The 11,530-nt window shown below is 39.8% G+C and overlaps 1 protein-coding gene across 3 annotated transcripts, besides 3 other annotated features; it reads right to left on the bottom strand.

Annotated features, from left to right (window-relative positions):
- Positions 1-231: 231 nt before the first annotated feature.
- On the bottom strand, positions 232-9,926 carry ZPBP2 (zona pellucida binding protein 2). Of its 3 annotated transcripts, NM_199321.3 has the most exons (8): positions 9,722-9,926; positions 9,514-9,579; positions 7,309-7,434; positions 6,503-6,664; positions 5,640-5,858; positions 5,002-5,084; positions 2,694-2,874; positions 232-1,446 (listed from the first exon to the last, which is right to left on the bottom strand). In NM_199321.3, exons 1-8 carry the CDS (start codon positions 9,771-9,773, stop codon positions 1,319-1,321), a joined length of 1,017 nt encoding a protein of 338 aa, NP_955353.1. In that variant the 5' UTR covers positions 9,774-9,926; the 3' UTR covers positions 232-1,318. The 3 variants fall into 3 exon arrangements, with proteins under 3 accessions (NP_955353.1, NP_942141.2, XP_047291274.1); NM_198844.3 differs by lacking the exon at positions 9,514-9,579; XM_047435318.1 differs by lacking the exon at positions 232-1,446 and having other exon boundaries at positions 2,792-2,874; positions 4,988-5,084.
- Positions 10,567-10,646: an enhancer, noted in NCBI's record as "active region_12117". NCBI's record gives its function as "activates an Ori minimal core promoter by ATAC-STARR-seq in GM12878 lymphoblastoid cells {active_cell/tissue: GM12878}" and the evidence as "EXISTENCE:reporter gene assay evidence [ECO:0000049][PMID:35858748]".
- Positions 10,657-10,872: a silencer, noted in NCBI's record as "fragment chr17:38023509-38023724 (GRCh37/hg19 assembly coordinates)". NCBI's record gives its function as "represses an EF-1alpha promoter that drives an FKBP-Casp9 reporter gene in an ReSE screen in K562 erythroleukemia cells {active_cell/tissue: K562}" and the evidence as "EXISTENCE:reporter gene assay evidence [ECO:0000049][PMID:32094911]".
- Positions 10,887-11,106: an enhancer, noted in NCBI's record as "active region_12116". NCBI's record gives its function as "activates an Ori minimal core promoter by ATAC-STARR-seq in GM12878 lymphoblastoid cells {active_cell/tissue: GM12878}" and the evidence as "EXISTENCE:reporter gene assay evidence [ECO:0000049][PMID:35858748]".

Raw genomic sequence — 11,530 nt, 5'->3', positions numbered from 1 at the left:
CTATTAGAATGGTCAAAATAAAAAAAAACTAACAATACCAAATGCTGGGAAAGATAAGGATAACAGGAATACTTTTTCATTTCTGGTGAATGCAAAACGGTAAGCCACTTTGGGAGACAGTATGGCAGTTTCTCATAAAACTACACATAGTCACACTCCGGCAGTCATATTCCTAGGTTATTTACACAATTGGGTTGAAAACTTATGTTCATACAAAAACCTGCACACAAATGTTTATAGCGGCTTTATTTTTAATCACTGAAAACTGGAAGCAATCAAGATTTCCTTTAATGGGCGAATGGATAAACATACTATGCTATATCCATACAATGAACATTATTCAGCAATAAAAAATGAGCTATCAAGTCACAAAAAGACATGGAGGAACCTTAAATGCATATTGCTAAGTGAAAGAAGCCAGTCTAAAAAGTCTACATACTGCATAACTCCAACCAACTACATGACATTTTGGAAAAGGCAAAACTGTAGAGACAGTAAAAAGATCAGTGGTTGCCAGGGCACGGCGGGAGGGATAAATAAGTGAAGCACAGGATTTTGAGGGTGGTGAAACTATTCTGTATGAGACTGCAATGGTGCACACATGCCATTATGAATTTGTCAAAACCCACATAACCTTACAACACAATGAATCTTAATGTGAACTATGGGCTATAATTAATAATAAATTAATATTGGTTCATCATTTGTAACAAATGTGCCACACTAATGCACCATCTTAATAATAGGAGAAATTGTGTAAGGAGGAATGAGGGTATGGGGTGCAGTGGGTGTATGGAACTCTATATATTATCTGCTCTATTATTCTGTAAACCTAAACCTATACTTTAAAAAATACAGTATATTAATTTATCTTAAAAAATAAAATCATAGGGACCAAAATAAATAACTTTTTTGGTTCTAATACAAAGATAATATACACGCCTTTATATCACACAAGAGTGATTCCAAACAAATAAATATATGGAGAGTATACAATTTTTATTTTATTATACTTTGATACTCTTCTTGACCTTACTATACTCTTAGGTACACAGCAACATACCGTTTGTAAACAATAAAACATTTCATTAAAAATAATCCATTAAAACTTCAAGTTTCCTTTGTACACTAGAGATACTGGATTAAATGCCTTCTTAGAAATGCCATGTTAACCATTTATTTTAAAGTTTCCAAAATGCATGTTTTCCAGTGGTTTGGTCTTACTGATTTTACTTAATGGAACTATCTATGATGCTCTGGGATGTGAAAATCATCTTATGTCCCCGACTTCCACAAGTAAGTAACAATGCTTTCACCTCTAATCTTCATATTGCTGATTTTTGTTTGAAGTTTGTGGGCAAGATTTAGCTCCATAGGTAAGGACGGAAACGCAGGTCTGACAAGTTACATTAACATCAGGACTAAAAGTCGCAGGACTACAAACCACTGCAGAGGAAAACACAGGGAGTAATTATAATTTAGAGATATTTTATGCCTCTACTACTTGGAGGTATTCTATACCAACAATATAAATCTGCCTTTAATATCATACCATTTCAGTACCTATATTATACCAGGTAATGTTCAGCCCATTTAAGTTGTGGAAGATTATGTGAGTTTCAAACTTTATAATTTGATGATCTTAAAGATAGGAGAAAGTGAGAATCCTATTTTTTCTTTTACTATCAGCATTTTACAGTATCTTCTGCAGTGCCCCATTTATGAGTTCCTATTTCTAGTTTTCTAGTTCCTATTTCCTAGTTCTCTGCTTTCCAGGTAGGACCATTCTGTTTTCCTTCATTGTACAGTAGCTTAAGACAGAACATTATAGAAATGTTTATAATACAAGAGAGTACATCAGGAAGAGTTAATATACATTAAAATAACTATATTTAGAAATTTGGGCTTTGGCTGGGCGCAGTGGCTCATGCCTGTAATCCCAGCACTTTGGGAGGCCAAGGCGGGCAGATTGCTTGAGCCCAGGAATTCCAAGACCAGTCTGGGCAACAGGGCGAAACTCTGTCTCTACTAAAAATACAAAAATTAGTCAGTAAAAATACAAAAATTACAGATTGCACACCTGTAATCCTGGCTACTCAGGAGGCTGAGGTTGAAGGATGGTTTGAGCTTGGGAGGCAGAGTTGCCATAAGCTGAGACTGCGCCACACTGCACACTGCACTGCAGCCTGGGTAACAGAGCCAGACTCCATCTCAAAAAAAAAAAAAAAAAAAAAAAAAAAAAAAGGGGCCAAGCATGGTAGCCCACACCTATAATCCCAGCACTTTCGGAAGCCAAGGCAGACGGATCCTTTGAGGTCAGGAGTTCAGTCGAGACCAGCCTGGCCAACATGGTGAAACTCTGTCTCTACTTTTTACAAAAATTAGCCAGCTGTGGTAGCTACTGGGGAGGCTGAGGCAGAAGAATCACTTGAACCCTGGAGACGAAGGTTGTGGTGAGCTCAGATGACGCCACTGCACTCCAGCATGGGTGAAAGAGTGAGACTCTATCTCAAAAAAAACAAAAAAAAAAAAAATTGGGGCTTTGAATTTTTACTTCCTTTTAGCTAAATATATATATATTTTTTGGTAAGAGAATCACTGTAAAGATTCTATTCAGTTATGCCAAGTGAATTACTTATATATTCTTCTGACTCTATAACCTAAATGTTTAGATATTTATATTTTATAGTTACCACAACAGCTAGCGCAATTACTGTGTAGACGTTCATTTTTTCCAAAGCCTGGTCGACAGCTATCCAGACGTACTACTTGCAAACTGTGGTCCACAAAATGCATTGCTGGTAGAGTTTTATTAAAGTTATGGTAGAAAATATATGCTTGGCTCCGAAAAAAGTCTTCTATTCGATCTCTTGCCTAAGGTTGAAAAATACCAGAGAAAGGTACAATTACTAAACCATGAACCAAATTTATCCTCCAGTATCACAGGCAATAATGTACTGTAAGCATGCCATACTTAACGTAGATAAATTCCTGAAAAGGTGTGTGTTAACACCAAAATTAGTTAGCTTTGACCTTATCAACTGTTGTCAATTAATATGTGCAATGGTTAAGAAAAATTGGCTGGGAGCGGTGGCTCATGCCTGTAAACCCAGCACTTTGGGAGGCCAAGGCGGGCAGATCGCGAGGTCAAGAGTTCGAGACCATCCTGGCCAACATGGTAAAACTCCATCTCTATTAAAAATACAAAAATTAGCTAGGTGTGGTGGCATGTGCCTGTAGTCTCAGCTACTCAGGAGGCTGAGGCAGGAGAATTGCTTGAACCTCGGAGGCGGAGGTTGCAGTGAGCCGAGATCGTGCCACTGCACTCCAGCCTGGCGACAGAGCGAGACCCCGTCTCAGAAAAAATAAATAAATAAAAATTAAAATTAAGATTAGGCTGGGCGTGGTGGCTCACGCCTGTGATCCCAGCACTTTGGGAGGCAGAGGTGGGCGGATCACTTGAGGCCACGAGTTCGAGACTAGCCTGGCCAACATGGTGAAACCTCGTCTCTAATAAAAAATACAAAACTTAGCCAGGGGTAGTGGCAGGCACCTGTAATCCCAGCTACTCGGGAAGCTGAGGCACAAGAATCACTTGAATCCAGAGGCAGAGGTTGCAGTGAGCTGAGATTGCACAGCAGCCTGGGTGACAGAATGAGACTCCATCTCAAAAACAAAACAAAATAAAATGAAAAGAAAAAATAAGATTAAAAAACTTGTTTTGAATTATTTGCAATGTCTATCCCATATGTAGATAATTGGGCGTTCATTATATCTAATTTCCATGATCATCAAAGAAAAAGAGCCAAGCAAAATGGAAAGCAAGACTTTTCTTGGCTGGGCGTGGTGGCTCACACCTGTGATCCCAGCACTTTGGGAGGCAGATATGTGCAGATGACTTGAGGTCAGGAGTTTGAGACCAACCTAGCCAACATGGTGAAACCCCGTCTCTGATAAAAACACAAAAAATTAGCCGGGTGTGGGTGTGGTGGTGTGCACCTTTAGTCCCAGTTACTTGGGAGGCTGAGGCAGGAGAATTGCTTGAACCTGGGAGGTGGAGGTTGCAGTGAGCTGAGATGGCCACCACTGCACTCCAGCCTGGGCAACAGAGCAAGACTCCGTCTCAAAAAAAAAAAAAAAAAAAAAGACTTTTCTTTAATCAGCATTATAAACCGATGATGTAAATTTTGGGTTTTTGAGCACAGAATTTAATAATAACTAATTTTAACTAAGTGCTTCTCATAAGCCATGCACAATAACAATTAAGGACATGAGCTCAGGAACTAGACCAGAGAGTGAAGGGATTTTTAAGACTATGTCCTTTGCCTCTGAGGATGGTAGAGGGGAGAGCAACTAGTATGACCAATATAGATATAATTTTGGAAGCACCATTGGCTTAACGTAGGGTGACATGTTTGTGAAGTTGTTCTTTAAGCCACTATTTAATCATCATTTGGGGAACAAAGACCAGGGATCTATCCTTCTGTCATAGATAAAATACATAATACTAACCTTGGGAACTATCTAATATTACAGATGTGCTACTCCAAAATAACACATCTTGATACTCCAGCTCTCTTTTGAGAAAGAAAAAAAAATCACATCTTGAAATAACTAAGAATCTCATAATCTCAGTTTAAAAAACTGAAACCAAAAATCAATAATACTTAAAAAATCAATATTATTAATACTTTATATTCGTTTTTTAAAAAATAATTTTTCCTCCTTAGAAATGATTTTATTATTGATAAATATTCACAAGATGGAGAAATAGGTTTTTAAAGAAACGTTTCAATATAACGAAGTATTTACAAAAATGTTTTAAATAGCTTTATTGATTTTCAAATACTTCCTCCTTGGCTGAGGGAGGAAGATCACTTGAGCCCAGGAGTTTGAGGCTGCAGTGAGCTATGGTCGCACCACTGCACTCCAGCCTGGGTGACACCCTGTCTCTAAAAAAAGAAAAAGACAAATACTTCTTCCTTACCATGAAATTCTCACCTGGAGGATATTATGATTAGTGGTATCTTCACAGTCAACAGATCCATTGCAAGCACCTTTCCACCCCGGCGCAAAAGGATTAACTGAAGAGAAAAAAAATGATAGACTCACAAAGGGATTCTGAAAAGTTCCAAACATTTCAATAAAGGTCCAAGTGCTGAATTCCATGTGCATGCAGGCACATGTTTAGTCCAGCTATCTAATCCTAGTAATAAAACAAGGTGCACAATTTGAATAATTTATACTTGATGGTTTCACTGCATCTGGGGGCTAATGTAAGTAACTACAAGGCTTTAAAATGAATAGAAATAAATTTGGTTTGATTATTCACTTTTACTAAGTTTTCAAAAATACAATTTAAAATTCTGTAAGAAGTTATAAGTGAAATATTAGCTGCATAAAGGCTGTATTAATAAAATATTGATTTTTAAGAAGCAACAATATGTCATATTTGAAAGTAATTAATTAGTGTGTTAAGTTTTAAAACCATAAACAGGCTAAGGTCAACTACATACTTTAGTGCTTAACAAACATGTAAGACCTATTACTTTTAAAATATCTTATATTAATATGGTAATTTTGTAATCTATTATGGTTCAGGACTAAATTCAAAATTAAAGAAATTTTAAAAATTTTACCTTGAAATGCTATAAATAGCTCATGTATGAGGCCATGTTCTGGAATTTCAACAGAATGGCATTTATATGATGGCTCTATGACATGGCATGACAAATCAGAAATTAGACTATCCAAGATTTTCTTCAGCACTCTAAAGAATACATCATTGTATCTCCCTATACAAGACCTTGTGGTAAAACGTACAGCCATCTGATATGAATAATCAGGTTCCCGATAGGCTTTAAAAAAAAAAGAAAGATGAGAGTGAAAACAATCGTACCTAGCATTAATTTCCTCTACCAAACAATTTTCAAATACTATGTAATACTAAATCCCATCAATCTTGCAGTCAGCATAGAAACATAACGTTTTATCAGTTAGTCCTCACAAAAATACATAAAACTATTAACTTTAATGAAAAATGTTATTTTCATCTGATACATTATCTACTTGGTACAACAAGAGAAATGGCTTCTGTGGGTTGGCTATACAGATAACAGTATCAAGAAAAAGAAAGACTTTTTGGGGAGGGCCTTAATTCACAGAAATTGTCATTGCTGTCAGCACAACCCAGTGAAAGGATCATTAACTTGCTTTTATAGAATTAAAGATCAGTTTTTAAATTACCTGCTAAATTGTGATAAAGTAGATGCGCTTACATATCTAGATAGAGGCAAGTAGGGAGCTGAAAGAAGATTATTTAGGATAAACTATCTTGATGTCAACTTAAGAGTTTGCTTAGTCAAATACATCCCAAAATATTTTGTAAGTCATAATTGGTGACAGTCACCTATTACAGACTCATTTTCATTAAATGAAGAAACCATACACTTAATTACGATCCAAACTAAATGTATAAGTTAAAATGTGCCTAAATTCTTACCAAAGACCATAAAGTCATATCTCTTTTTGACTGTTTTTTCTTCTTGAGTTTCTGCTTTAACAGTCTTATAAGAAAGAGTACATGTGTAAAGTCCAGACAAAGGCTCCAAAAAATCTTTCACCATCAGCTGTCCAGTTTCAGTTATATTTATTCTATTATTTCCTAAACAGAATAGTAAATTACTTATTTAACATATAACATATCAAGCATTATTTAGTACACTTGGAGTTACAAATAGATACAAAAATTTTAAAAATTAATGAACTATCTCAACTTTAAGGATCCCACAAAATCTTAATTCTGTCATATTACTCTGTGGAAGACTACATGAGATAAGTACACTTTTGAAATATATTTTGGTTTTCTTTGTTTCTTGGCATCTAGTTTCAATTGGTTCATCCCAGTAATTCAGAAAAAGAGATTGCACTGCTCTGTACTACTATACAATTTCTTCAGACAAGAAACTAATTAATAATACTTATGTTCCAAGGCACTCTAACATGATGAAAAATTATATATTAGTTATTTCATCTCCTATTACTGGTACTACAATGATAAATTTTAGGTTTTATAAAGACCTTTGAATTAATACAGCTCTGAGAAGCAGGGCACAAAAATTACTGCTTCAGTTTTTGCATAAGGAGAAAATAAGGAAGTGGCCAAAATATAACATGATTTTTCTAAGTAGGGAGCAAGAGAAACTGCCATTAAAATTAAATTTCAATTTGTTCTTTCCAATAAGTAACAGTGATTTTCTAAAAATATGTTCACATCATTAAAAAAGTACATATTAAAATCAAATTTACCTGTTAACGTCTTTTCATTAGGCCCAATCCATAAGTAGGTGGGGTCCACTATTTCTTTTTTAGAAAGCTTAAAATCCATACAGATAAGGACTGGACTATTTTGATGTAACTCTACATATATTTTGTCTGTGATGAAATAAAATAATGTATAACTACATTATATAGCAAAATTAAATTAAGAAATATACTCCTACCATTTTGTGCTGAAGACACGAATTAGTTCTTGTTGGATTTCACTATTTTAAAAATCAATATATAACATTTAGAACGCTCGTCTGAAGTCCTTTTTGCTTCTCATAGTAAGTTTTTTAAAACTCTACACTGTTAGTCACGAGTCATGATATTTTTCCATATTACACTTTTGTTTATAAAAATACACATGATATATTTAAAGTTCATTTTAATGTACAGATTCAGAACTCACTCAAATCATAATTTTTTGGAGGGTTGGTGGAAGCAATTAAAAGTTCAGAAAAGGCCTGGGCACGGTGGCTCACGCCTGTAATCCCAGCATTTTGGAAGGCCGAGGGAGCGGATCGCTTGAGTCCAGGAGTTTGAGACCAGCCTGAAGAAAACGGCAAAACCCCCTCTCTACTAAAAATACAAAACTTAGCTTGGCGTGGTAATGTGGGCCTATAATCCCAGCTACCCGGGAGGCTGAGGGAGGAGACTTGCTTGAACCCGGGAGGCAGAGGCTGCAGTGAGCCGAGAGTGCACCACTGCACTCCCACCTGGGCAACAGAGCAAGACTCCCTCTCAAAGAAAGTTCAGAAAAAGACTTCAGCATAACTATTCTAAAGATGATCAGCTGGGAGCGGTGGCTCATGCCTGTAATCCCAGCACTTTGGGAGGCCAAGGTGGGTGGGTCACCTAGCTCAGGAGTTCAATACCAGCCTGACCAACGTGGTGAAACCCCATCTCTACTAAAAATACAAAAAAATTTGCCAGGCATGGTGGTGGGCCCCTGTAATCCCAGCCACTTGGGAGGCTGAGGCAGAAGAATTGCTTGAATCCAGGAGGCGGAGGTTGCAGCGACCCGAGATCACACCACTGCACTCCAGCCTGGGCAATGGAGCGAGATGCTGTCTTTAAAAAAAAAAAAAAAAAAAAAAGATTGGCTGGTGCTGTGGCTCATGCCTGTAATCCCAGCACTTTGGGAGGCTAAGACGTGCGGATCACCTGAGGTCAGAAGTTCGAGACCAGCCTGGCCAACATGGTGAAACCCTGTCTCTACTAAAAATACAGAAATTAGCCAGGCGTGGTGGCGCACGCCTGTAATCCCAGCCACTAGGGAGGCTGAGGCAGGAGAATCTCTTGAACCCAGGAGGCGGAGGTTCCAGTGAGCCAAGATTGTGCCATTGCACTCCAGCCTGGGTGACAGAGTGAGACTGTCAAAAAAAAAAAAAAAAAAAAAGAAGGAAGGAAGGAAAGAAAGAAAGAAAGATAGATGATCATGATCACCCTAAGGGAAACCTGATGTTTAACTGTAAATTTTCTCCATTGGGAACAATAATTAAGCCTATCTGGGCATATTAGGAAGATGTGTGATTACTTCTTGTTTCTGGTTTGGTGGACAGAACGATGGTATGCTTGGAATCACTGCAACCCAGAAAGATATTAATTTTAAAGCCTACTGAATGCCAGGCTCATAAAGACAACGTCCTACAATTTGGTTGGGGGTCGGGGAGAGAACTCAAACACAGAAGGAGTCTAAACATGACAAATTCTATCAACTGGCTCAATTTATCTAAAATTAGCTGTGTAACTAATTTTCCTTGGGAAAGTTTCACTGCAGAGATAAAGGACATTTGAGCTGAGCCCTGAAGGATGCGTGGGAGTTTTTCCAGTTAATAAGGGGAGGATTAAAGATATTCCAAACAGAAGGCCTTGGAAATCACTCCTTTGCGTGGGTTTCCCGCGTTGCAAAGCAGCAGAGACACCTGGAAGTGAGATGGCATCTGAGAGAGAGATCTGGAATAAATCCCAGCCCTTTGTGAGCTGTAAGGCTTTAAAGCAAGGCGACACAATAGGGATCGCTGTAAGGATGAAAAAATGCGACCGTCGTGAACTGCCAAGCAGATGCTTAGTATAATAGATGCTCAATAAACGCTGGCTCGTTCCCCTTCTCTCCAGGAAGCTCTTCCGGGAAGAGCTTCGCAGTTCCGGCCCCTCCAATGGGCCCGCGTGTGCAGAGGCCCTTATTACCTGGCTGTCCTGTCTTGCCATAAATGAAGCCCTTCTTATTGAATAAGGTAAAACGCGGGCATTGGACTGCGGAGGAAATAAAACACTGACTTTTAGTTAGAAGAGGAGCAGGGTTCAGAGTCGGGCAGGGCAGGGCGAGGCGAAGGAGGCAGGACCGGGAAGCTCGGGCAGAGGGAGAGGCCTGGGGACCGGGTGGAGGGAGCCCCACCTCCTGTGAGGCACCAGAGCACCGCGGAGAGTAGGACGCACGTTCGCATCATCGCTCAGGGGCTGGCGTCGCAGGAGGCGTCGAGGGACAGACTCCCTCCTACCTCAGCCCTGGCCCAACACCTCCCCACCTCCTCCACAGTGCGGAGCAGAACGCCGGGGTCGCCTCCCCTACCCGTCCGTCGCAACGGCGGGAGCGGACGCGCAGGAGAACGCGTGCGTGCTTCGATTCTCGCGCGCGGGGGCGGGGCGACGGCGCTGCAGGCGATCGCCAGATCCTCTGGCGCCCACGCGGCAGCAGGCATGCGAACTTTTCGCGCCTCGCGTCCGGCGCCATTTTCCCGCGCTCCTGGCCCCTTGCTCTCTGAGCGGAGCGGAAGGCAGGAAGAGAATAAAGGAAAAGAAGCCACGGTGTCGCGTTCCGGGGATTCCCCAGTCTAGGGGCCGAAGGGATCAAGGAGAGAACACCGCGAGGTCCCAAGGACCGTGGTGGGGTAGGGCGGCTAGGGGATGCGATGAGGAATCCCCTAGGAAGGGGACCTGAGGAAGGCAGAGACTTGTGACAATTTCCTCCTCACGTGAAGCAGAAAGGCCCGCGTGGGGATTTCCTACGCCTCTCTTCTCATGAACGCTGAAACTGGGTGTCGAATCTCTTTCAAACTGACACGCGATTTTTACCTAATTGCATTCTTTACCAGCAAGACCAAGACCCAGAAGAGCCACTACTGAGCCAAGAAGGCGCTTCCGGGCCTTCCCACTCTAGAGGAACGTTGAATCTTCATTTTCACTTCAAGTATGAGGCGATGTGAGAGACCTCCCCCAGTGCAAACGTATCTAGGTTGATGAAGTGACCTTGCTTTAAAAATGGGCCCAATTGTAAGGCCCATTGGCCTTTTCTGTAGGGATGGAGCCCGATTGGCCTTTTCTGTAGGGATGGATGACTAGTCAAGATCGGGGAGCTCCAAAGGGGATCATGCCCGCGTCTTTGATGGTTCCTTCTTGGCTACTAGTTTGGTGGCCCGAAAGGCCCTGTGTGTTGTCTGTTTCTTAGCAGCGGGACACCACTCTCAGTAGTGGTTTTGAGTAGGCTGGTTAGTAGAGAGAGCCCAAGGTTCAGACAGGGTGCAGAATGGTTATTTTGGGTGAGATCAAGAGTTTTCGGTTTTATTTCCTTTGAGCCGAGTCAGTACTTGGACTCTCTCATATGGTCCAGGAGCAAACTTTGTCAGTAATTTCATTTTTAGTCACTGTTAATTTTACCTATATAGCATAAGCCATGAAATGTGACTCAGTGAGTCAGATCCACCCATTTTCAGTTACCATGTCTGGATACATGGTCTGGTCTCAACTGTTCTCTTCTTAAGGTGATGATAATGAAGACAGATTTAGGCATTATCTTTGATTCCCTACAAGTTCTTCATTCCAGTTTTAGTCAAAGTACATTATATATCCACAGTGTGTTTTATTGACTTTTTGGTTACTGTAAGTAATTGATAGTTGTAAATCCTGTGTGATAAACTAAATCCTATGAGAGGAGACTTAACCAAATGAGTAATAGTTGTCAAAAGTACCCATCCACTCTTTTTATATAAACTTTTTATTTTAGAAGAGTTTTAGATTTGCAGAAAATTTGCAAAAACAGTACAGAGAGTTTTTACATACTCCCTCCCGATTTTCCCTATTATTGACATCTTACATTGGTATGGTACATTTCTTACAATTAATGAACGGATATTGATATATTACTATTAACTGAAGTCCAAACTTTATTCAGATTTCCTTAGTTTTTTACTCAATGTCCTCCCTACCT

The sequence above is a fragment of the Homo sapiens genome, chromosome 17 (genome assembly GCF_000001405.40).
Source record: "Homo sapiens chromosome 17, GRCh38.p14 Primary Assembly".
Lineage (NCBI taxonomy): Eukaryota > Metazoa > Chordata > Mammalia > Primates > Hominidae > Homo > Homo sapiens.
This window is presented reverse-complemented; position numbering and strand designations above follow the sequence as displayed.

What these genes read in the sequence shown, in the direction of transcription:
- ZPBP2 (NM_199321.3), bottom strand. Translation starts at nt 9,773, where the DNA reads ATGATGCGAACGTGCGTCCTACTCTCCGCGGTGCTCTGGTGCCTCACA. An exon ending in TAATGAAAAGACGTTAACAG is followed by an intron (nt 6,665 to 7,308) that starts GTAAATTTGATT and finishes TATTCTGTTTAG; the next exon opens with GAAATAATAGAATAAATATA. An exon ending in TAATTGCGCTAGCTGTTGTG is followed by an intron (nt 1,447 to 2,693) that starts GTAACTATAAAA and finishes TTTCCTCTGCAG; the next exon opens with TGGTTTGTAGTCCTGCGACT.